Raw genomic sequence first — 26,912 nt, forward strand, 5'->3', positions numbered from 1 at the left:
TACAAAAATACAGTTAGATAGAAGGAATAAGATTTAGTGTTCAGTGGCATAATAGGGTGACTATAGTTAACAGTAATTTATTGAATATTTCAAAATAATTAAAAGAGTAGATTCATAATGTTCTCGCAAAGAAAAGATAAATGTTTGAGGTAATAGATATCTCATTTTTACCCTGATTTGATCATTACACATTGTATATATGTGTCAAAATATCACACATACCCCCAAAATATGTATAATTATGACAACACAAAAATAAAAATTTAGCCCCTAATTCCTTTTGTGGGAATAGAACTTGAATTTAATCTGGTCAGACTATCAATTGTTTCAGTGAAATTGTAGGTCCAGCTTCAAATAACTTGACTACATAGGTCTTAGGTAAATGATCTAATTCATTAGCAATTTCTTTGGAGGTAAAGAGTACAGTAGCCTGGTGTCCTTGGTGCTTATTTTTATTTATCCTTGTACAATGACTGTCAGAGTTATGAAAATCTGAATTTGCTGATTGTCTGGAATTGGGAACGCTTCTTCACTATTGTAATTGTATTCAGCTGTTGCTGATCTTGAACGGTAATAGATGGTTACTACATTTACCACCACAGCTCTCTACTTAAGGGTTAGGTTAGGTAAGGCTGTTCATGACCATTTGTTTTGTCAGTTGTGATTGATCACTAAAAATGATTAAGCTTGGGGCCCTCAAAATAATTTTTTAATTGCTTTATTGAGATAGCATTGGTGTATAAAAATTGTATATATGCAAAATGTACAGAATAATTTTTAATATATAATCTATCTTACTCTGTATGGGCTCTTTGAAGCTTTAAAATCAGACATCCTCTATTTCTTCTTAATAATTATTTTATTAATTATCTTTCTCCAAAAAAGGCCAGTGATATTAGCATTCTTACTGGTTTGCTCTTGCATATATTAGCATGTGGTGAATTTTATGAGGTTTTAAGATGTGAACAATGCAAAGCCATTTCAGAATAATTTTCTAATTTATCCTAAGTATTTACCTTAGAAGTACTATTTGCAGTACTTCTTGCTGTATGTGAGAAGAGATGGGGTGGGGCTTGGTGTGTATGCTTTTATTTTAGAACAGACCTAAGTGACAGCATGGATTTCTTTCCTTGTTTTCCTTTGCCAGAGGGTTAAGAGGGTAAACATTTTGTCTCTGGTTTTCTATAAGAAGAGTCATGGTGTAATGTTTGCCCCAAATCTGATAGCCTACTATAGAAATGTTCTTTTAAAGTTAGTATATAAATAGCTTAAAAATTAGCATATAAAAATCCTTTTAAAGTTAGTGCATAAATAACTTTCATTTGATCTTTGACTTGATGGTGAACAAAAAAAGAGCATTATTTTGTATAAATCACTATGGCTCATATAGATGTTAAATTTTTAGGTTTATTACTGGTCAGATATCTTCTGTATTGAAATTCAACTTTGTAACAAAAAAACAGTATTTTTTCTGTGCACAGCTAAAGCTCAGAGGGAAAAAATGTCAAATCTTATATAGCATAGCATAGTTGAAAAAGTATTTTATATTTTTATTCTATTTATCATGTCTTTATCACAGCTTAGTGACATGTGGTTATTGTCCACCTTTTTTTTTCTTTTGCAAGTGAAGACTAAACCTCATTTCTTTGTCATTGAGATAGAAAATGACAATCTTGGCCAGGTACAGTGGCTCACGCATATAATCCTAGCACTTTAGGAGGCTGAGGCAGGTGGATCACCTGAGGTCATGAGTTGGAGACCACCCTGGCCAACATAGTGAAACCCTGTCTCTCCTGAAAATACAAAAATTAGCTGGTCGTGGGGGCGCATGCCTGTAATCCCAGCTACTCGAAAGGCTGAGACAGGAGAATCACTTGAACTTGGGAGACAGAGGTTTCAGTGAGTCAAAATTGTGCCACTGCCCACTGCACTTGAGGAGCTTGGGTGACGGAGGCTCTGTCTTTTAAAAAAAAAAAAAAAATCTTGTTCCTGGTCTTCTCACTTCCTCTCTGGTGGTCTATTCATATGATATAGTCAGCCTCCTGAAAAATTAGTTTTGGTGTTAGTGCATTTTGAAGAACCTGATTAGGTCATAATATAAGACTGAATTCCAGTTTTGGGAAAGAGCTTCAAATGTGTGTGTGTTTTTTTGTTTTTTTGTTTTAAGTTTCAGGGTACATGTGTAGGATGTGCAGATTTGTTACATAGGTGATATGTGCCATGGTGGTTTTCTGCACCTATCAACCCATCACCTAGCTATTAAGCCCAGCATGCATTAGCTGTTTTTCCTAATGCTCTCCCTCCCACTACCCCACTGCCTGACAGGCCCCGGTCTGTGTTGTTTCCCGCCCTGTGTCCATGTGTTCTCAGCTTCAATATGTTTTTAACACTTTTCTCTTTGCTTTAGCCTGAACACACCACCTGGAACTAAAGTTAAGCTCTCAGGCATTGTTGACATAAAAAATGGATTCCTGCTCTTGAATGACTCTAACACCACAGTTCTTGGTGGTGAAGTGGAACACCTTATTGAGAAATGGGAGTTACAGAGAGTAAGTGTAAACTATGGCTTGAACTTTTGAAACATTACACTCTTTTTTATTGCATTAAAGAGCTCTTTCAATAATGAGTAAAATTAGTTCTTTGTGTCGGAGTTGAATAGAATGGAATATGATTATCTTTAGAGAAACTATCTTTGTCTAAGTGTATTGTTTCTCTAAAGTAGATATACTTTTTCAGTATTTGTTACATTTTATTACTTATGTTTAAACATTCTTTCCTGACAAGTTTCAAAACTGTCAAGATACCAGTTATAAGCTATGTACAATTTATTTGTGTATAATTCTTTCTGCAAAAAACAAAAGTGCATCTATGTGAATATATGTATACCTGTCTTATCTACAGACACACATACGTGCAAGTAAAAGTAAGTTAGAATTTCACTGTAATGGAGGAGTTCTTGTTGCACTTGACTTCCTAGTCTCATTAGCTAATATTTTTCCCCATTTATATTAACAATATCTTCATCTTTCCAGTCATGTAGGTTATCTTGTAATTGTTCCTCTACTTTGCTTCCAACAACCATTTCTGTTGATCCATTGCAGTCAAATCTCGTATCACTTCCTTGCTCTCCAGTTCTTATTATTACTGTAGTGTAGGTCTTTAGTATCTCTTGCCTGGACTGCTGTATTAGCCTTCTGACTGTCTATCCACATATCCTTTCTCCATCTTCTAATTTATTTTATGTACTTTCACCAGGTTTTCTTCCTTCAGCATAGTTGAGATGCTTTTATTTCAAATGCCTTAATTTGAGATTGAATGCCATTTATATTCTAGCCCTAGTTCCAGTTTACGTTTAATTTTCAACTTTCTAAATTCTTCCACATAGATCTTGTTGTAGCCAAATGGAGTTGCTTCGTCTTTCTTTGATGCTCTATGATTTCCTCAGTTATACATTTTTAATTAAACGTTTTTCCATTTTTACATTATTCATCTTGTTTTTTCTCTCCTGATCCCCGCATAGCCAAATCATCCCTGTGCTTTTAGACCCAGATCAAATGATTGCTTCTTCTCAAGGTGAAGTACTTGTTTCCTTATTGAATTCTTTAAACATTTTATTCTTTTTGTGTATTGCTTTTTACCTAGCACTAAAATTATGTTCATTTCTCATCTCCTGTAACAGATAGTATGCTTCTGAGGTCAGAATTTTTGTTTGTATCATCTTTCTTAAGTTCTGCACGTATCTGTTGAACAATGTGTAGATACTGTGCTGGGATCTTGCATCTGTATCTCAAGTTATCCTCCTAGTAGTCTTTATAAGGGCTGTTAAATAACTTACTTTATGATTAGACAGATGATGGATCTGAGCACAATCCAAGACCATTTTTTTCTGTTATACCAGAGTAGCCTTTTTGCAATCTCCAAAGCAGTAGCTCTGAACTTTACATGTAATAGATGTTATAAAAAATACTTGTGGTATAAATGAATTACAAAGCACATAAAAAATATTTGTGGAACAAATGAATAGCAAAACTGATTACTCCTCGAGCTGAAATGTATTCTTGTGACACCCTCAAATCTTGCCTGTTTTGTAAAGTCAGCCAAAGGCCTAAGCAATATTTCAAGCTTTTGGTATTTTGTGATACACTACTCTCTCCTATTTTCTTAGTTGGGAAGTGCCTGTGTTTGGGAGGTAAATAGATAAGGACCTTAGGCACATTTTTATTCCTTAGTACTAATTTCTTATGATACTAATGTGCTGTGATTTGGGTTGCTGTACTATGCAATATAAAGTAATGTTCCACAACTGCATTGTTTAATTGAAAATGTCCCAAAAAAGTAATTCAGAAGTAGCTTAATAGTTCTACATAAACAGCCAAGTTTGTGAACTTTGAATTTCCTGGAGAAACTACCCATTTCATGTGATCTTTTCATATGTTGATATAATTGTATTTTTTTAATCAGTAGAGATTTTTTAAAGTGTGGTAAAAAGTTCTCAACTCTAATACCTTATATAATTTTCCCACAACCCAGTCCCATAGCCAGGACCACTTTGCTAACAACTGTAAACATTCCTAGTAACCTTCTCACCAACACACACACACACATACACACACACACACACACACGGAGTTTAGTAGTAGTTTAATAGTTGCCCTTGAAATGTTTAATTATATGTCTCTGCACTTGACTTCCTGCAAGCCACATTAGTATTTCTTGTTAGGGAGTGATAAAAATTTACATTTAAAATCATTTTAAAACATTTTAATATGATTATAGTTCTTTTTGGCTTTATAGTTTTTGATTTGGTAGCCACAGCAATGTAGGAAACAGGGAAAGTGCAGTTACTTGAGCAGCTGGCAGTGATATACATAGAAATTATAAACCATAAAGCTAATGTTGGAAGTGAAGAAGCACTAAGCATTCAGTAAACTATATGCAGGCATTGTAACTGTAGCAAGTTGGTGCCAGATGTAATTTACAAAATACTGTAGTTCTATAAGTTTTAGTGCCCCCAAACTGTAGATTAAAAAATGTTTTTATTGTGGCAAAGTATACATAACATAAAATTTAACATTTTAACCATTTTTTAAATGTAAATTTCAGTGGCATTAAGAACATTCGCATTGTTGCACAGCTGGTACCACCATCCACTTCCCTAACTTTTTCATCTTCCCAAACTTAAACTCTGTACCCATTAAACAGTAACTCTGCATTCCTTCCTCCTCTCAGTCTTGGGCAACCACCATTCTACTTTCTGTCTCTGAATTTGACGAAGTAACTCATATGTGTGGAATCATACAGTATATATCTTTTTTGTGCCTGACTTATTTCACTTAGCATAGAATTTTCAGTGTTCATCTATGTTGCAGCATGTGTCAGAATTTCCTTCCTTTTTAAGGTTGGATAGTACTCTATATCTATACCATCTTTTGTTCATTTATCCATCAATGGACATTAGGGTTGTTTTCACTTTTTAAGTCTTATGAATAATGCTGTTATGAACATGGGTACACAAATACCTCTTTGAGACCCAGCTTTCAATTCTTTTGTGTGATCTAGAAGTGGGATTGCTGGACCATATAATTGTATTTTTAATTTTTTGAAGAATTGCCATACTGTTTTATATTTACTTTACACTCATTTCCACCAGGATATTACAGGGGTTCCAGTTTTTTACATCCTCACCAACGGTTGGTATTTTGTGTCTTTTTGATAGTAGCCATTCTAACATGGGTAAAATAGAATATCATTATAGTTGGGTTTTTTTTTTTTTTTTTTTGATATGGAGTGTTGCCCAGGCTGGAGTACAATGGCACGATTTCGGCTTACTGCAACCTCTGCCTCCCAGGTTCAAGCGATCTCCTGTCTCAGCCTCCCGAGTAGCTGGGATTACAGGTGTGCACCACCATGCCCAGATAATTTTTGTATTTTTAGTAGAGACGGGGTTTCACTATGTTGGCCAGGCTGGTCTCCAACTCCTGACTTCAGGTGATCTGCCGGTCTCAGCCTCTAAAAGTGCTGGGATTATAGGTGTAAGCCACCATGCCCGGCCTTCATTATAGTTTTGATTTGTATTTCCCTAATGCTTAGTAATATTGAGCATCTTTTTGTGTGCTTATTGGCCATGCGTAGATCTTCTTTGGAGAAATTTCTATTCAAGTCCTTTGCCCATTTTTAATCAGGTCAGCTGTTGTTGTTGTTATTGTATGAGTTATGTATAGATTCTAGATATCAATTCCTACTAACATAATATGTTTTGCAAATATTTTTCCCATCCCATGTGTTGCCTTTTCACTGTGTTGGTAGTGTCTTTTGATGCACAGAATTGTTGAAGAGTTTTTATAGGTTTAGCTTTTATGCTTAGGTCTTTGATCCATTTTGAGTTAATTTTTGTATTAGTAAAGGGTCCAAATTCATACTTTTGCATGTGAATATCCAGTTTTCCCAGCACTACTTTTTGAAAATAGTGTTCTTAATGAATGATCTTGTCAGCCTTATCAAAAATTATTTGGCCATATATGAACAAATTTATTTCTAGGTTATCTGTTCTGTTTCACTGGTCTAAATGTCTATCTTTATGCCACACTGTTTTGATTACTGTAACTTTTTATTAAGTTTCATAATTGGAAAGTGAGACCTTTTTCAGGATTGTTTTGGCTATTCAGTATTGAGATTCCTTATGAATTATAGGATAGATTTTTCTATTTCTGCAAAAAAAAAAAATCATTGGGGTTTTGATAAGGATTATGTTGACTCTATTGACCACTCAGTATTGATATCTTAACAATATTAAATCTTTCAATTCATGACCATGGGAAGTCCTTTTCACATTGTTCTAAATTGTTAGTGTAGAGAAACACAACTGATTTCTCTGTGTTGATTTTGCGTACTCCAACTTTATTGAATTTAGTATTCTAACAGTTTTTTTTTCTTTTTAGTGTGGAATGTTTGGAGTTTTCTACATATAAGATCACGTTATCTGTGAAGAGTTAATTTTATTTCTTCCTTCTCAATTTGAATACCTTTATTTATTTTTCTTGCCTTATTTAGCCCTGGCTAAAACTTTTAATATAGTGTTGAATGGAAGTGATGAAAATGACATCCTTCTCTTGTTCTTGATCTTAGAGGAAACACCTTCAGTCCTTCACTATTGAATATGATGTTAGTGGTGGGTTTTTTATATATGGCTTTTATCAGGTTTGAGTAGTTCCTTTCTATTTTTAGTTTGTCGTATATTTTTATTATAAAAGTGTGTTTGGTTTTGTGAGATGCTTCCTCTGCGTCAATTGAGATGATCATGTGTTTTTCCCCTGCTTCATTCTGTTAATGCGTTACATTGATTGATTTTTATATGTCGAAGCATTCTTGTATTTTGGGAATAAATCACATTTGGTCATGGTCTCTAATGCTTTTTATATGGTATGGGATTCTGATTACTGGTTTTTCATTGATGATAGATTACTTTTTTCCTAATTTCTAAAATTTTGGTAAAATACACATAACGTAAAATTTACCATCTTAACCATCTTAGATGTACAGTAGTTTAAAACACATTCACAAATGTTCAACATCACTAATCAAAATGTAAATCAAATACAGCGAGATATACTACCCTACAGCCATTATCCATTACAATGTCTACTGTAAAACAAACAAACAAACAAAAACCCCCAGAAAATAGCAGGTGTTGGCGAAGATGTGGAAAAATTGGAACTAAGCCTTGTGAACTCCTGGTGGGAATATAAAATGGCATAGTTGCTACAGAAAACAGTATGGCAGTTCCTCAAAAAATTAAAAATAGAATTACCATATGATCCATCAATTCCACTTCTGGCTATAAACCCAAAAGAATGGAAAACAGGTCTTGAAGAAATATTTGTGTACCCTTGTTTACAGCGGCAGAGGGCATTATGCTAAGTGAAATAAGCTGGGTATAAAAAGACAAATACTGTGTGATTCTACTTATGTGAGGTACTGAAAGTAGCAAAAATTATAGAGAGAGAGTACAATGGTGATTTCCACGGACTGGGGGAGGAGAGAATGGGGGAGTTATTGTTTAATGAGTATAGAGTTTCAGCATTAGTAGACCATTTACTTTTAATGGAATTCAGTATGGAAAGTTTTAATTCTACTATCTTGCTATTTCTTTTGTTGTTGTTTTGCTTTTTGTTTCCTGTTTTACTCCATTTTCTGCTGCTATAACAGAATACCACAGACTGGGTAATTTATGAAGAAAAGAAATTTATTTCTCACAGTTCCAGAGGCCCAGAAGTACAATAACATGGCTTTGGTATCTCACCAGGGCCTTCCTGCTGCATCATAACATGGTGGAAGGACAAGTAAGCATGTGAGACAGAGAGAGGCTGGGACATAAACTTCATCTTTCATCAGGATCCCACTCCCAAGATAACTAACCCATTCCTGTGATAACAGCATTAATCTATTCATGAGGGAAAAATATTCATAATCTTATCACCCCTTGAAGGTCCTACCTCTTAACACTGTTACAATGGCAATTACATTTCAATATAAGTTTTGGAGAGACAGTCAAATCATAGCACTTCCTTTTAAATGAATTGCATTTTTTAAATGATTCTGTTATCTGCATTATTAGCTTATCAGCTATATTGTGGGCGGCAAGCCACCCAGGTGCCAAGGCAAGAGACCGAGGGCACAAACTGTTCCAGCATAATAAAACATATAGAATAAGAATAGTTATACTAGAAATAGATTATAGATATGATTATATGTGAATATCATTAATTATTAGTTTGTAGTATTACTCTTTATTCCAATATTATAATAATTTTTGTTTTATAATTATAACCTAGGAAAAACCAGGCCATACAGAGATAGGAGCTGAAGGGACATGGTGAGAAGTGACCAGAAGACAAGAGTGTGAGCCCTCTGTTATGCCCGGACAGGGCCACTAGAGGGCTCCCTGGTCTAGCGGACAAGGCCACTAGAGGGCTCCCTGGGCTAGCAGTAACGCCCTCGCCTGGGAAGGTGCCGATTACCTAGTGGACCTTGGCCTAGCGGTAGCGTCAGTACCTGGGGAAGGCACCCGTTACTTAACAGACCAGGAAAGGGAGTCTCCCTTTCCCTGGGGGAGTTAGAGAAGACTCTGCTCCACCACCTCTTGTGAAAGGCCTGACTGATGGCAGGCTTGTCCTCAGCCATCCAGAGGCCTGACTGTCTCCCTGTGATGCTGTACTTCAGTGGTCACGCTCCTGATCCGCTTTCATGTTCCACCCTGTACACCTGGCTCCACCTTTTAGATAGCAGTAGCAGAATTAGTGAAAGTACTAAAAGTCTTTGAAATGCATAGAAGAAATAATGGCGTAAGCTGTCCTCTCTCTCTCTCCGCCTTGGCTGCCAAACAGGGAAGGGCCCCTCTGGTGGACACGTGACTCGCATGACCTTACCTATCATTGTAGATGGCTCACACTCCTTACCCTGCCCCCTTGTCTTGTATCCAATAAATAACAGCATAGCTAGGCATTCGGGGTCACTACCGGTCTCCGCGCCTTGGTGGTAGTGGCCCCCCCCGGGCCCAGCTGTCCTTTCTTCTGTCTCTTTGTGTTGTGTCTTTATTTCTACATACTCTCATCTCCACACACGAGGAGAAAAAACCCACAGACCTTGTAGGGCTGGGCCCTATACTATATGACTGTGTTTTTGTTTTTAAGTGGTTGCTGTAAGGTTTAAGATGTGTACCCTTGACTTCTTTCTTTCTACCTTCAATAATACATACCACTTTATGCGTATTGTAAGACCCATACAATTATATGCTTTCATGTACCCAGTTTTGTCTCTATGCTGGTTTTGTTATATACTTTACATTCGTTACGAAGGTCACAACACGTTTTAATTTTTTTCCCTTAAATGGTTTTTAAAACAATGAAACAATTTTTAAAAGATATTTTTGTCTTTCTACACATTTACCATTTCCGTCCCTCTCTCTTTTCTTTGGTAAAGATCAAGTTCCTGCATGGTGTGTCTTTTAGTTCAGGTTAGCTGATGATGAAGTGTTTTAGTTTTGGTTTGTCAGAATGTTTTTTTTTTCTTTACTTTTTAAGGATATTTTCTCTGAATGTATGTTTCTACATTGAAAGATTTTTTAAATTTTTCTTAAGTGTTTTAAGGACATCATCTCATTGTCAATTACCTGGTATACTATCTACAGTCTGTAGTAATCTTTTTTTATGTAATGTATCTTTTCTTTATCTACTTTTAAGTCTTTTCCTTTTTTTTTTCTTCCTATTTTTATTTTAGGTTAAGGAGGTGCATGTGCAGGCTTCTTAACATGGGTAAATTGTGTGTCACTGAGGCTTGGTGTATCAAAGATCCCATCACCCATGTAGTGAGCATAGTACCCTATAGGTAGCCTTCCAACTTATTTCCTCCTCCCACCCTTCTCCCTTAAGCAGTCCCCAGTGTCTCTTGTTCCCATCTCTGTGTCCATGTGTACTCAGTGTTTATTTAGCTCCCACTTATAAGTGAGAACATATGGTATTTGGTTTTCTGTTCCTGCCTTAGTTTGCTTAGAATGATGGCCTCCAGATGCATCCATATTGCTGCAAAGGACATTATTTCATTCTTATTTATGGCTGTGTAGTATTCTATCATGTATATCTACCACATTTTCTTTATCCAGTTCTGTGTCGATGGACCTCTTCACTGATTCCATGTCTTTGCTGTTGTGAAGAGTGCTGCAATGAACAAACAAGTGCATGTGTCTTATGTGCAGTAATAGTAGTTGAACTCTTAGTTCTTTGAGGAATCTCCGAACTGTTTTCCACAGTGGCTGGACTAGTTTACATTCCCAGCAACTGTGTATGTGTATTTTCCTTTCTTGGCAACCTTGCCAGCATTGGTTGTTTTTTGACTTTTTAATAATAGCCATTCTGTTATGAGATGGTATCACATTGTGGTTTTGATTTACATTTCTCTAATGATTAGTGATAATGAGCATTTTTTTCATATGTTTGTTGGCCATTTGTATGTCTTCTTTTGAGAAATGTTCGTTCATGTCCTTTGCCTATTCTTTAATGAGGTTGTTTTTTGCTTGCTGATTTGTTTAAATTCCTTATAGATTCGGGATAGTAGACCTTTGTTGGATGTACAGTTGACAAATATGTTTTCCCATTCTGTAGGTTTTCTGTGTACCCTGTTTATAGTTTCCTTTGCTGTGCAGAAGCTCTTTAGTTTAATTGGGTCCCACTTCTTATTTTTGTTTTTTGTTACAGTTGCTCTTGAGGACTTGGTTGTAAATTCTTTGCCAAGGCTAGTCTCAAGAAGGGTATTTCCTAGGGTTTCTTCTAGGGTTTTTATTGTTTTAGATGTTACATTAAAGTCTTTAATTCTTCTTGAGTTAATGTTTGCGTATGATGACTGGAAGGGGTCCAGTTTCAATCTTCTGCATATTGGCTAGCCAGTTATCCCAGCATCATTTATTGAATAGGAATTCCTTTCCTCATTGTTTGTTATTGTCAGCTGTGTCAAAGATCAGGCGTTTGTAGTTGTATCACTTTATTTCTAGGTTCTTTATCCTGTTCCATTGGTCCGTGAGTCTGTTTTTGTACCCAGTACTCATTGTTATATTTTTGTACCAATACCATTCTGTTTTGGTTATTGTAGCCTTGTAGTATAGTTTGAAGTTGGACAGCTTTGTTCTTTTTGCTTAGGATTGTATTGGTGATATGGGCTCATTTTTGGTTCCATATGAATTTTAGAATAGTTTTTTTTTCTAATTCTGTGAAGAATAACATTGATAGTTTGATAGGAATAGTGTTGAATCTCTAAATGGCTTTGGATAGTGTGACCATTTTAATGATATTGGTTCTTGCCAATATCTGTGGGCATGGAACGTTTCCATTTTTTTGTGTTGTCTCTGATTTCTTTGAGCAATGTTTTGTAATTCTCATTGTAGAGATCTTTCGCCTCTTTGTTAAGCTGTATTCCTAGGTATTTTATTCTTTTTATGGCCATTGTAAATGGGTTTGCATTCTTGATTTGAGTCTGGGTGCTATTGGCATACAGAAATGCAACTGATTTTTATACATTGATTTTGTATGCTGAAACTTTACTGAATTTGTTTATCGGCTCTAGAAGCCTTCTGGTGGAGTCTGTGGGGTTTTCTAGATATAGAATGATATCATCAGCAAAGAGAGATAGTTTGACTTTTTTTTTTATTTGGATGTCATATATTTCTTTCTCTTGCATAATTCCTCTGGCAAAGACTTCTAGTACTATGTTGAATAGAAGTAGTGAAAGTGGGCATCCTTGTCTTGTTTCAATTATCAAGGAGAATGCTTCAGCTTTTGCCTGTTGAGTATGATGTTGGCTATACGTTTGTTATAGATGGTTATTATTATTATTATTGTTATTATTATTATTATTAAGACAGAATCTTGCTCTGTCACACAGGCTGAAGCACAATGGCAGAATCATAGTTCAATACAACCTTGAACTCCTGGGTTCAAGGGATCCTCCTGCCTCAGTCTCCTGAGTAGCTGACACTACAGGTGCACACCACCAAGTCTGGCTAATTTTTAAATTTTTTATAGAGATGAGGTCTTTCTTTGTTGCCCAAGCTGGTCTCAAACTCCTAGCCTCAAGCAATCCTCCTTGTTTGGCCTCCCAAAGTGCTGTGATTACAGCCTTGAGTCACTGTGCCCAGCTCGATGGCTCTTATTATTTTGAGATATGTTCCTTATATGTCTAGTTTGTTGAGAGTTTTTAATATGAAGGAATGTTGAATTTTATTGAAGGCCTTTTCTGCATCTATTAAGATGATTATGTAGTTTTTGTTGTTAATTCTGTTTATGTGGTGAATCACATGTATTGATTTGCATATGTTGAACCAACATTGCATCCCAGGGATAAAGACCAGTTGATTATATTGAATTAACTTTTTGATGTGCTGCTGGATTAGTTTGCTAGTATTTTATTGAAGATCTTCTCATCTACGTGCATCAGGAATACTGGCCTGAAGTTTTTTGTTGTTGTTGCATCTTTGCCAGATTTTGACATCAGGATGATGCTGGCTTTGTGCAAAGAAGTAGGGAGAATTTCCTCCTTCTTGATATTTATGGAACAGTTTCGGTAGGATTGGTATCAGTTCTTCTTTGTATGTCTTAAAGAATTTGGCTGTGAATGTATCTGGTCTAGGATTTTTTTGGTTAAGAGATTTTTTTTTATTAATTATTCAATTTCAAAACTTGTTATTGGTCTGGTCAGGTTTTCACTCCCTTCCTGGTTCATTCAGTCTTTGGAGATTGCTTCTAGGAATGTATGCATTTCCTCTAGATTTTCTAGTCTGTGTGCATAGAGATGTTCATAGTTTCTGAGGATCTTTTGTATTTCTGTGGGATTGGTTGTAATACCATATTTGTGATTTCTGATTGTACCGATTTGGATCTTCTCTCTTTTTTGTTAATCTAGCTAGCAGTCTACCAATTTTTTTTTTTTTTTTTTTTTTTTTTTTGAGACAGAGTCTCACTGTGTCTCCCAGGCTGGAGTAGTGCAGTGATGCAATCTCGGCTCACTGCAGCCTTCAACTCCAGAGTTCAAGCAATTCTTGTGCCTCAGCCTCCCAAGTAGCTGGGGTTGCAAGCCCGTGCCACCACATGTGGCTAATTTTGGCATTTTTAGTAGAGATGGGGTTTCAGAATGTTGGCCAGGGTGGTCTCAAACTCCTGACCAGAAGTGATCTGCCCACCTTGTCCTCCCAAAGTGCTGGGATTACAGGCATGAGCTACCGTGCCCGGTCCACAGTCTGTCAATCTTAGTTTATTCTTTCAAAGAACCATCTTTTTGTTCCATTGATCTTTTATTTGGATTTTGGCATCTCATTTTCACTTAGTTCTCTGATTTTAGTTATTTCTTTTCTTCTGCTAGCTTCAGGGTTAGTTTGTTCTTTTTATTCTTGTTCTTCTAGGTGCAACATTAGATTGTTAATTTGAGGACTTTTTTTTTTTTTTTTTTTTGAGATGGAGTCTCACTGTGTCATCCAGGCCAGAGTGCTGTGGTGCAATCTTGGCTCACTGCAACCTCTGCTTCTGGGGTTCAAGCAATTCTCCTGCCTCAGTCTCCTAAGTAGCTGGAACTACAGGCACACACCACCATGCCTAGCTGATTTTTTTTTTGTATTTTTAGTAGACAGGGTGTCACCATCTTGGCCGGGCTGGTCTTGAACTCCTGACCTCAAGTGATCTGACTGCCTTGGCCTCTCAAAGAGCTGGGATTAGAGGCATGAGCCACCACACCCAGCCAATTTGAGAACCTTCTAACTTCTTGATGTAGGTGGTTAACACTAAAAGCTTTCCTCTTATCACTGCTTTAGCAGCATCTCAAAGATTTATGTCTCTTTTTTCATTAATTTCAGATAATTTTTTGATTTCTGCCTTGATTTCATTGTTCACCCAGAAGTTATTCAGGAGTAAGTTTTAAAATTTACATGTAATTGCATGGTTTTGAGAGATCTTGCTGTTGATTTCTATTTTTAATGCACTGTGGTCCAAATGTGTGCTTGGTATGATTTTGATTATTTTGAATTAATGGAGACTTGCTCTGTGGCCAAGCATTTGGTCAATCTTAGACTATGTTCTGTGTGCAGATGAGAAGAATGTATATTCTGTGGTTGTTGGGCAGAGGATTCTGCATATGTTTATTAGGTCCAATTGATTGGGTGTTGAGTTTCAGTCCAGAATTTTTGTGTTATGTTTCTGCATTGATGATTTGTCTAATGCTTTCAGTGGTATGTTGAAATCTCTCACTATTATTGTGTTTGTCTAAGTCTTTTCATAGGTAAAGAAGAACTTATTTTATAAATCTGGGTGCTCCAGTGTTGGGTATATACATATTTAGGATAGCTAAGTCTTCTTATTGAGTTGAATTCTTTATTATTATGTATGTCATTTCTTTCCTTGTGCTTCTTAATTGTTGTTGGTTTAAAGTCTGTTTTAGTTGACAGAAGAATAGTGACCCCTGCTCTTTTTTGTTTTCTGTTTGCCTGAAAGATGTTTCTCCATCCCTTTACCTTGAGCCTCTGGGTATCATTACTTGTGAGATGGGTCCCTTGGAGACAGCAAACAGTTGAGTCTTGCTTCTTTATCCAACTTGCCATCGTATTCCTTTTAAGTGTGTCATTTAACCAGTTTACATTCAGGGTCAATATTGATATGTTAGGGTTTGATTTTGTCATCATATTGCTAGGTGGTTGTTATGTAGACATGATTGCATAGTTTATAGTGTCACTGGAATATGTGTTTAAGTGTGCTTTGTGATGACAGGTATCATTTCTTCATTTCCATGTTTAGCACTCCCTTTAGGAGCTCTTGTAAGGCAGGTCTGGTGGTAATAAATCCCCTTAGCATTTGCATGTCTGAAAAGGACTTCATTTTTCCTTTGCTTATGAAGCTTAGTTTGGTAGGATATGAAATTCTTGGTTGGAATTTCTTTTCTTTAAGGATATTGAAAATAGGCCCCACTCTCTTTTGGCTTGTGAGGTTTAAGCTGAAAGGTGTGCTGTTAGCTGAGTGGGATTCTTTTTGTAAGGCCCCTTTTCTCTAGCTGCCTGTATGATTTTTTTCTTTTGCATTGACCTTGGAGAATCTGATGACTATGTGTCTTGGGAATAGTCATCTTGCATAGTATGTCACAGAGGTTCTTTGAATTTCTTCAGTTTGCATGTTGACCTGTCTAGTGAGATTTGGAAAAGTTCTGTGGATTCTGTCTTCAAATATGTTTTCCAAGTTGCTTGTTCTCTCTTCTTCTCTTTCTGGAATGTCAGAGTTGTATGTTTGGTCTCTTTACATAACCCCATATTTCTTAGAGGTTTTGTTCATTTTCTAAATTATAATTTACCTCAGGTTGGGGGTGTTTTCACAGGGGAATGCCATGGGTGTGGGGTGCTGCAAGTGGGAGTGCTCCAGTGAGGAGGGCCCCACAGGCAGGGGGTATTATAGCCAGCATGATGGGGAGTGCTGCAAGCGAGGGGGCCACATGCAGGAAATGCTCCTTTGGTAACAGCTGGGGCACTGCAGGCAGGGAGCCATATGGGATGGGGGTGCACTCTGGTGGGAAGCCCTCTGGTATTGGTAGTTGGGTTGTCTTGGGTGGATAGCTCTGGTGAGGGGCACCACAGGAGGGGGGCATTCTAATAGGGTGGCAGGGATTCAGCAGGTGGGAAGTTTTCTGAAGGGGTGGCAGCGAGGTCACAGGCAAACAAATTCTGGCAGGAGGCTGTCAGCAAAAGTGCTCTGGTGGGGCAGTGGGGGCTGCACTGCTTGCAGGCATGGCCAGGCAGGGACTCTTAGAGGAGTGTTTTCTTTATCACTGATTTCAACAATTCAATTGTTTAATTATGATGTACCTAACATGGTTGGTGTGCGTTTTATCCTGTTTGGTTTTCAGTGAACTTTTTTGATCTATGAGTTTATTGTTTTCATCACATCTAGAAAATGTGATTTGGCCATTATTTCTTCATATGTATTTTTTCTCTTCCCTCTTTGTGTTTTTTTTTTTTTTGTATTATATCTTCAATTACACATACATTAGACTGCTGGTAATTTTCCAACCAGTCACTGAAGATCTATTCATTTTTTTACCCTAGGCTTTTCCTTTGGCCTCTTTTTGGTAGATTCTATTACTATACCTTTAAATTCACTGATCTTTTCTTCTGTCTTATTTTATTTACTCTTAAGCCCATCCAATGAGTTTTCATTGTTGGTGGTTTTTTTCTTTTATAGAAGTTCCATTTGGTTCTTCTTTTTTTTGTATTTTTCTTTACTAGTTGAATTTATGTTTTCTTTTAAATACTTACACATAGTTTTAATAGCTGTTTAACGCCCTATTTATTAGTTCATCATCTTTGTCATCTATGGCCCAGTTTCTCTTGACTAAATTTTCAGATGGTTATGGTCACATTTTTCTGTCTTGACATGCCTTGTAGTTTTTGCTTAGATGCTGGACATTGTGATGTTGGTAGTTGTTGAGAGCCTGGATTTTGCTATTTTCCTTTAATGAGTATAAGAATTAGCTTTGGTCAACAGTTAATTTACTTTTGATCAGTTTGACCCCTTCAAGATGTGTATTCAAGCTTTGAAAGGAGTATCTAGCATAGCCTTTGTTCCAAATATTTTTTAGCTCTCTGGATTTCTACTCCCTGTCCTGAATGAATGTCCAAAGAGTTTTTAGTCTGCATGGTCTGATCTGGCTGGATTGTCTGTATACCCTTTATGAGTTCTGGGAATTGTTCAGCTTACAACTCTCAGTTGTTTTTTGCTCAGCCTTGTTCTCAGCAGTGACTCAAGGGAACTCCTTTGAGGGTTTCTGGAGCTTCTTTATTATGACAGGTTCTTCTTTCTGAAACAGCCCCACAACTTCCAGTTGCATCAGCCTGCTTGAACTGTGAGACTGATATTCTAAACTCAGCTCCCTATGACCTCTGTTTGCATCATGGCTACAAGCAGAAAGCCATAGCTCACCTGTTTTTTTTTCTCTTTCTCTCAGGGATAATAGTCTTGCATTATCTGTTATCCTATGTCTTAAAACAGTTGTTTCTTACACATTGTTAAGATTGTTAGTTGTTTTTAAAGAGAGAGTAAGTATTGCTCATGTGCCTTTATCAGGTCCTGTAATATGCTTTTAATTATGTAATGTTATTGAGCTATGGTATTATTTGCAATTCATGAACTTTTCAAGGAAATGATAGTATAAGTTGAAATGATTTATAGCTGTTTGAATAGTCTTTGTTTAATGTTTAAATTAAGGAAAGGGCCTCTTGATAATTTTATGCATTTGTTGTTGTGAAAAATTAGATTAATATCTTAAATATAGGTTTTAAAGAAACGTGGCACTCATATACACTTTAAATTATTCTTTGCTCAATAAACTGAATGTTGTGCTTGACTGTCGTTACTCTTAATTATCTTTATAAAATATACAGTGTTTACACAATTCAGGAACTCTGGAATATGCTTGAAAGTGCACATGGTGGTTGTTTTTTTTTTTTAACTTTGTCACCTATTTTACATATTTTAATCATAATGGTTTCTGTAGTGATAACAATTAAAATGCACAAAAAGTTTAAAGTTGAGATGTATTAAGTAACAACTAGTAAGACAAATGTATGTATATATTAATACCTCAAAACCAAAATAAATCAGAGGAAGAGATAACTGAAGAGAGTCCTGGAGACTCCTTATGGGATTTTAGAAAGACTTTATCATGTGAGAAATTGCTTTTGCCAGAAGATTTTCTTTCCGTTTTCATAATACATTGTTATCTCTCTAGCTTTATGAGATTTCAGGAAAAAAGAAAACTAAAATTAGTTGGATTTGGAAGCTTATTTTTAGTTAATGAACAATTTGTTGAATACTTTTTCAAAATATGAATTGTTTTGCAAAACAAAACAGGAAAATTTAGTATAAGGAAGGTTAAGGAAATTTTAGTATAATTAAAAGAACCTCCATATTATACACTATAACAATCTGTTCTCTTTAAGTAATTAGAAATCACCCTTATGTTAACTAATAAATTTGGTGTCTAAAAAATTTATTTTTGAAGATAATTTCCAGGTAATATTTGTCTGTCATAGCTTTATGCTTTAAAATGGAATTCTGTTACCAAAGTTTGATATTTTTGAATTTGCTTCTTAAGAAGACTGTTTTCTCCTTAGGGGAATGGCCTGATAAATATTTCTGAAAGCTTTATGTGAATATGTGTTTTGGTAAGGGGAGGTGAGGAGAGTCTTTGCCTAATTATTGAAGTTAAGAATAATATATTTTTTTGTGGTTTGAAATACTTCATGGAAGGCCTTTTTTTTTCCTATTTCTTATAAGAATCTACTCAAATAGGTAGATTCCTGTTACATTATAAATGCTGGAAATATATTTTTTATGTATAACTGCTCTTTTGTGACTGGATTTTTTCCGCAGAGCTTATCAAAACACAATAGAAGCAATATTGGAACTGAAGGTGGACCACCGCCTTTTGTGCCTTTTGGACAGGTAATGACTTTTGTGTTGGCAGATGAATTTAAATTAGGAAAAAGTGTTTTTCATTAGCATTCAAGCTGTGTTTCATTATGTGCTGAACTATTAAGAGGTTATGGAGTTATTTGGAAATATGAAGTTCAAGGAATTTAATAATTTTGAGGTTTTTTTCCTTCACTGTAGTTATATTGTTGACGTTTGCGAGAGCTGTTAACCCAAAGATTGAAGCAATTAAGAGCCATATCTGAAGAGTAACTTATAACTAATTAAAATAGGATGGGAGAGGGTTTTTTTTTGAGGGAAATTCAAAAGTAAGAAGACAAAAATACATCATAATTTCTCACTTGTTCATTAAAAACATTAGAGGGGGAGAGAAAAATAAAGCCACACAGAGTGATCAAAGTGCTACTTTGAAGCAGCCCCCCTTCTGACCAGTATCTTGTGACTTCACTTGTCTTCAGCATCAAATTGATTCTCAACAATCTTCTCCAGCCTGCTCTTGCTTTATCCCTGACAATTCTAAGAATAATTCTTGTGGCAGCTTGCTCTTCTCCTGATGATGCCATCAAAATTTAGCGGTTGGTAATCTGTCTTGCATTTGCTCTTTAATTTTATTCAAGAGTGCTGGGCTAAGAGTAGCAATGAGTTGTGGACATAACAGGTAGGCAACAGATCTGTGTTTCCATAATAAGGTTTATCGTGTGTGTGTGTGTCCAAATTTTGGTATTTAGTAAAATCATTTGACTGTCACCCTCTCTGAAAGCCTTTTGTAAGATATACTCTCACTTAAATAAGTCATTTTTGCATCAAACCTATTTTGAAGCATTTAAAAAATAATGTTGATTTTTTTTTTTTACTGAGTTTGGAAGAAGAAATAGCCAAGATAAAAGAAAGTGTGAAGTCCTATGGTGTGATCCATGTTGATGGTTGGTATTCTCCCAGTGTAATGAAAACCTCCACAGGGAAAACAGTGTAAACATTCTAATAACTTATATTTGAAAATAATAGTATATTTGTAAAAATTTACCCTTAAACATTTTGGTGATAATATTTCTCTTCCAGAGACTTATGATCTAATTATTCTTAAGACTTTGAAGTGTGTTTTATAGCTTCTTAGGGGTTAGAGAATATAATAAAAGCTATAATTTCAATAATATTATTTGGTTATAAAGTTCATTCTGAAAAAATTCTTGTATAGCATCTTGCAGCCTTGTACATGGGCTGAAGATAGGTAATGCTGACTGTGTATTTATTGGTGTCAATATGATATGTTTATATTACTGAAATTTTTCTGTATTTGTGGAACACATTTCTTTGAGATCTTCCCATTTTCCTTTTTATTAATGAGTTGAGAAAAAGTTCATTTTATACTATTTTTACTGGTAAGATTGGACTGGAGATCAGAATTGAGGGCTTCTTTTTAGGCAGTGATGCCTTTTTTTTTACTTTATGAGACAAAAATATAAAAACTTTGAAGCCTGATACGGGGGGTGGGTATGTTTTTAGAGTGTGGTTTATAAGTGCAGAGACATCTTTTTATATGTTAATATAATTGTACTAACCAATCCACATATGTATATTGTGGTATAATATGGAAATTAAGCTCTTAATTACAAAACCAAATTTATGTCTTATTGTGCATTAGTCAAGATTGTTTGAAATCTAAAATTATTTATTACCCTAAAATGAAGGCTCTCTTGATCCAGTGTATGTTTTAAATATGTGCCCTGTTTAGATAGCCACATATTTATATAGCTTTTAATTTTATTTACTAGTTACGTTTATTGAAAAGTTACTTTTCCAGTTTTCTACTTTTACTTTTAAATATATGGGATAGAATTTTATTTGTGTAGGCTTTTAGCTATTGTAAAAGATACAAGATACTTTTGAAGAAGTATTACTTTCTAACGAAAACTTGAATCTCTTTTGGAACTACTAAGTTGACTTATTCTTACTTGTTTTACTAGAAGTGTGTATCTCATGTCCAAGTGGATAGCAGAGAACTTGATCGAAGAAAAACATTGCAAGTTACAATGCCTGTCAAACCTACAAATGATAATGATGAATTTGAAAAGCAAAGGACGGCTGCTATTGCTGAAGTTGCAAAGAGCAAGGAAGTAAGAAATCAAATCATTACACGTTTTATTTCTTATCATTATGTTCTATTTAGATTATTTGTGATCGTTATTGTCTTTTCATATAAGCTAACTAATTCAACAAACGCTTAACCTTATTCTTCTTGCATATTCCATAACTGGGAATGCCCTGCCACTTCATGGGATCTTACATATTTTATTCATGTGTTCTTTTTCCAGATCTCCATGGTAGTTCCAGTAAGTTACTCTTGCTGGCAAATTACCCTCCTTTTCTCCTTCCTTTTTTTTATACAATGTAGTAACTGAACACACTTTTTATTCTGGCAGGGAGTTTCCTATTAGTAGTTGGGCTAGTTGCCACTTTTTTGGGGATAATTTCCCCTTATTAATAGCAACTTATGAGAAATAGCAGCTTCTGAGAGATGAATAAAAATCAGCGGATCTGTCACTGTGTCAGGATTAACATTTTTGTCTTTATACTTTATTTTATTTAGTGTATAGTAAAAAATAATTTTATCTTTACATTATATGTCTATTTACACACACACAAATCCTCCTTTTTAACTGACAAATAATTACACATATATATGAGGTACATGTGATATTTTGATACGTGTATACAATATGTAATGATGAAATCAGGGTAATTATATCTGTCACCTCAAACATTTACCATCTTTGTGTTGAGAACATTCAAAACTCTCATCTAGCTATTTTGAAATATACAATAAATTATTGTTAATTATAATCACCCTAGTGTTTTATTGAACACTAGAACTTATTCCTCCTAACTGTAATTTAATTCCCATTAATCAACCTCTCCCACTGTCCCTTAACGTTCACCCTTCCCAGCCTCTAGTAATTACTATGCTGCTCTTCTATGAGACAACTTTTTTATCTCTCACATATGAGAGAGAATATGCAGTATTTGTCTTTCTGTGGTTGGATTATGTCACTTAATGTAATGTCCTTCAGGCTTATCCATGTTGCTGAGAATGGCAGGATTTCTTTCTTTTATATAACTGAATAATAATCCATTATGTGTAGACAGTCAGCTCTCCATATTTGTGGATTCAACTCTTCCTAACTATGGATTCAACCAACAGTGGATCAAAAATATTTTGGTGGGGGCGGGGAAGGATGGTTGCATCTGTACTAAATGTGTACAAACTTTTTTTTTGTCTTGTGATTATTTCCTAATGATATGGTATAGCAGCTATTTATATAACATTTATACCATATAAGGAATTATAAGTAATCTAGAGATGATTTAAATATACAAGAATGGCCAGGTGCAGTGGCTCATGCCTGTAACCCCAGCACTGTGGGAGGCTGAGGCAGGTGTATCACCTGAGCCTGACCAACCTAGCAAAACCCTGTCTCCACTAAAATTATAAAATTAGCTGGGTATGCTGGTGCATGCCTGTAATCCCAGCTACTCAAGAGGCAGAGGCAAGAGAATCACTTGAACTCGGAAGGCGGAGGTTGCAGTGAGCCAAGATTGCACCATTGCGCTCCAGCCTGGGCAATAAGAGTGAAACTCCATCTCAAAAAATAAAAATTAAAAAAAAAAGTATGCAAGAGGATGTGCATAGGTTGTATGCAAATGCTATATCATTTTATGTAAGCGACTTGAGCATGTTTTTGAAATCTGCTGGGAGTGGGAGAGTGGTGGGAGTCCTAGAACCAATCCCTCACGGATACCAAAGGATGACTGTATACCACGTTTTCTTTATCCCTTCATCTGATGGTGGGCACTTAGGTTGATTTCATAACTTGGCTATTGTGACTAGTGCTGCAGTAAATATGGGAGATATCTCTTTGACCCACTGCTTTCCTTTCCTTTGGATAAATACCCAGTAGTGGGATTGCTCAATCATATGCTAGTTCTATTTTTAGTTTTTTTGAGCAACCTCCATATTGTTTTCTGTAATGGCTGCACTAATTTACATTCCCACCAACAGTACATAAGAGTTCTTCTTTCTTCACATCCTCACCAGTATTTGTTATTTTTTTGTCTTTTTGATTATAGCAGTTTTAACTGGGTTGAAATGAGATAATATCTCATTTTGTTTTGATTTGCATTTCCCTGATGATGTTACTGAGACACCCAGTCTAGATCCTGCTGCTCACTGCACAGTAAGCCAATCACTGAGACAATGAGTGTTGCCAGGAAAGAAGGCTTTATTTGGGTGCTACAGCTGAAGAGATGGGTCGTCAGTCTCAAATCCATCTCCCTGATGGGCTAAAATTAGGGGTTTATATAGCAGAGAAGAAATCTATGTGCAGGAAAATAGGAACTAAGGAGGGGTAAGGAAGCAATTCTGATGAATGAGGGGTGTGGCATCTCATTGTCTGGATGTGGTGATCTGGTTAATTTTAGTTCTTTGATACTTTTTGAAAGGCCTGAGTGTCATTTCCTGAGGAAAGAACTCAGATAAAGATAAATCAAATGAAAGTTTCAGATTTTAAGATCAGAAGGGTCAATTTCTGTTTATACAAAAAAACTGTCTATGGGACTATTGGGCTGATTTCAATGGTAAATGATGTTGACATTTTTTCATATACCTGTTGACCATTTGTATGGTCTTTTGAAAAATGATATTCAAATCATTTGCCCATTTTTAAATTGGATTGTTTGGGTTTTTTTGTTTTTTTTTATTTTTGACAGAGTCTTGCTCTGTTGCCCAGGGTGGAGTGCAGTGGCGCGATCTTGGCTCACTGTAACCTCTGCCTCCCAGGTTCAAGCTATTCTCCAGCCTCAGCCTCCCAGGTAGCTGGGACCACAGGTGTGCACCACCGTGTCTGGCTAATTCTTTTTTTGTATTTTTAGTAGAGACAGGGTTTCACCATGTTGGCCAGGCTGGTCTTGAACTCCTGACCTCAGGTGATCCGCTCACTTTGGCCTTCCAAAGTGCTGGGATTACACAGGCGTGAGCTACCATGCCTGGCCGGGTTTATTTTTTGTTTTGTTTAGTTTTGTTTTGCTTTTGAATTGTTATGTTCCTTATATATTCTAGATATTAACTCCTTGTCAGATGGATAGTTTGCAATTATTTTCCTTCATTCTGTAGGTTGTCTCTTCACTCTGTTGATTGAATTCTTAGCTATGCAGAAGCTTTTTAGTTTGATATAATCTCGTTTGTCTATTTTTACTTGTGTGCCTGTGTTTTTGAGGTCTTATCCAAAAAATCTTTGCCCAGACCAACATCCTGAACAACAAACCCCTCTCTCTTATATTATTGATAGCCAAAGTTCTCTTTTTATTATTTTGAATTATTTGCTTATTTGTAATAGGTGTTTTTCCTAGTTATTTATTGATTTCTTTTAGACTGATAAGAAATTTTAGGTCATAAATTAGTTGCTACATAGACATTTCTTAACCAGTGAGATTGAAATTGTTTCCTTTATTCAAAACCTGTAATGAAGCTTAGCTTACAACTGCTTTCCTATTTAATTTTGAAGTGTAAGTAGTAGTGTTCTTGAATTTTGGTTGTTCTTCCCGCAATGTCTTTCTGTTGTCAGTCTAGTAAAGGGGCCAGAAGCACAGGCTCTGGAATCACAGGCTGGAAGCATATCCTACTGACACCTTTGGATGGTTACTCAGCTTTTTTGTATCCCCTGTTTTTTATTTTTTTCATCTGTGAAACTCGGAGATAATAATGGTACCTACTTCATATGTGAGAATTAAAACATTTAGAGCTAATACTACTGCTACTTGGCACAAATCATAACACTCTTGCTCAAAGCTCTCAGTAAACACGACTATTGCTATTCTTTACTTTTTCCTCTACAAGGCATACTTTTAAAAAAACAGTTTTACCATTTCTTAAATTAATACATTTTATATAATTTGCATGAAATATATTTATTTTTTTCCAGAAATACATAAAATTATGGAGTTTCAGAAGATATTGAGAATATATTTTTTAAAATGATTATAGAAAGATGTTCTTTTGATTTACATTTATCTCAAATGAACTTTTCTACCAAGGATTTTGTTGGATGCAGTTACAGCTGTCTATTTATTGGAGCATAGTTAACCTATTATAATGTGCTTCTTTTTGTTGTCACAATTGATATTATATTTTCCCATGAATATTTGATAATTAAAGCATCTTAGTTTTTTTTTTTTTTTTTTTTTTACAGCAGACATCAAAACATCTCAATTTATATATGAGAGAATTTATGGAGGCTTAAAACTAACAAACAAACTTGGGACTTGTGCAAGGTTATCCAGTGATAATTGTAGGACTCAATCGATGTAACTCAGAAGATCTGAATCATAGTAATATAAGCATACTAAATAAGCAGATTGCAATTTTAAATATAATAGTCTGTTTAGTCCTCAAGATAGTGAGAGCTGAGCCAAGACTTGAAGGAGGTACGAGAATTAACTACTTGGTTATCTGAGCAAGAGTATTCCAGGCAGAAGGAAAAGCCATGGCAAAGGCTCTAAAGCAGGAGCACAGAGAAACAGCGGAGTGGCCAGTGGAAGCAGAGAGAACAGAGGGACAAGTAGTAGAAGATAAAGTCAAGAGAGATAATAGAGGTTACCTTATGTAGGGCCCTGTAAACTATTGTAAAGACATTGTACTTCATTCAAGGAGAAATGGGAGCCTTTGGAATGTTTTGAGCACAGCAATAACCTCAGCTGACCTATATTCTGAAAGAGTAATTGTGGCTGCTGTGTTCAGACTTGGTTGCAGAGAAGGAGAATTGGAAACCAACAAGTAGAGAATTATTGAAGTAATCTAGGATTTAAAAAAAAATGATGATGCCTTGGACAAACATAGCAGTTGTGTAGGTAGTGCAGAGTGGTCAGATTCTGGAATTTTGAAGGAGCCATTAGGGTTACTGAGATTGGATATAGGGTACAAGAGAAGATGTGGTATCAAGAATGAATCTAGCCAGGCGCAGTGGCTCACGCCTGTAATCCCAGCACTTTGGGAGGCTGAGGTGGGCAGATCACCTGAGGTCGGGAGTTTGAGACCAGCCTGACCAACATGGAGAAACCCCGTCTCTACTAAAAATACAAAATTAGCTGGGCGTGGTGGCGCATGCCTATAATCCCAGCTACTCGGGAGCCTGAGGCAGGAGAATCGCTTGAACCCAGGCAGAGGTTGTGGTGAGTCAAGATTGTGCTATTGCACTCCAGCCTGGGCAACAAGAGCAAAACTCCATCTCAAAAAAAAAAAAAAAAAAAGAAGAAGAATGAATCTAAGAGTTTTACCCAGAGAAATTGGCAGGTTAGAGTTGCTTGCCTTGAAATGAAGAAGTGTGGAGTGGAGCAGGTGTGAGGGGAGGAGGATCTGGTGCTCCATTTTGAACATGTGAATATTGAGGTACTTATCAGACATGCATGTAGTAATAATGTTTAATAGACAGTAAGACTGAAGAGTGAGCTTTATAATAGATACATGCACTTGAGAGTTGTAGACATATGGATGGTATTGAAAATTATGAGGCCAAATGAGATCACCAAAGGAATGAGTGTTGATAGAGAACAGAAAAAGCTAATAATGAACCCTGTAACACTTCAATTTGAACTTAGAGCCTAGATGGCAGAAGTGGAACCAGCCAAGGTGTGACCAGTAACAGGATAAAAACAGACAATGCAGAAAATACATTATGGAGAAGGAAGTGTTAAACTTATCAAAGGCAATTGAAAAGTTACATAAGATGAGGACTTAGAATTAATATAGAATCGAGGAAGTTGTTTATTCCATCCTCATTCCTCTTAACATGCATATGGTTGGTGGTATGATAAACCATATGGGGTTAAGATAAAGTATGACCATGCATTTACCAACAG

The 26,912-nt window shown here is 35.9% G+C and overlaps 1 protein-coding gene across 14 annotated transcripts in view; it reads left to right on the forward strand.

Moving 5' to 3' along the window:
- TDRD3 (tudor domain containing 3) overlaps positions 1-26,912 on the forward strand; it is a 178,347-nt gene that overhangs the window by 69,298 nt on the left and 82,137 nt on the right. For all 14 annotated transcript variants that reach the window (XM_047430685.1, XM_024449417.2, XM_005266560.3 and 11 more), the window contains exons 5-7: positions 2,408-2,549; positions 18,945-19,016; positions 20,969-21,118. In XM_047430685.1, the coding sequence (XP_047286641.1) occupies positions 2,408-2,549; positions 18,945-19,016; positions 20,969-21,118 (364 nt within the window). The remainder of the gene's footprint in view (positions 1-2,407; positions 2,550-18,944; positions 19,017-20,968; positions 21,119-26,912) is intronic.

Source organism: Homo sapiens, chromosome 13 (assembly GCF_000001405.40).
Source record: "Homo sapiens chromosome 13, GRCh38.p14 Primary Assembly".
Lineage (NCBI taxonomy): Eukaryota > Metazoa > Chordata > Mammalia > Primates > Hominidae > Homo > Homo sapiens.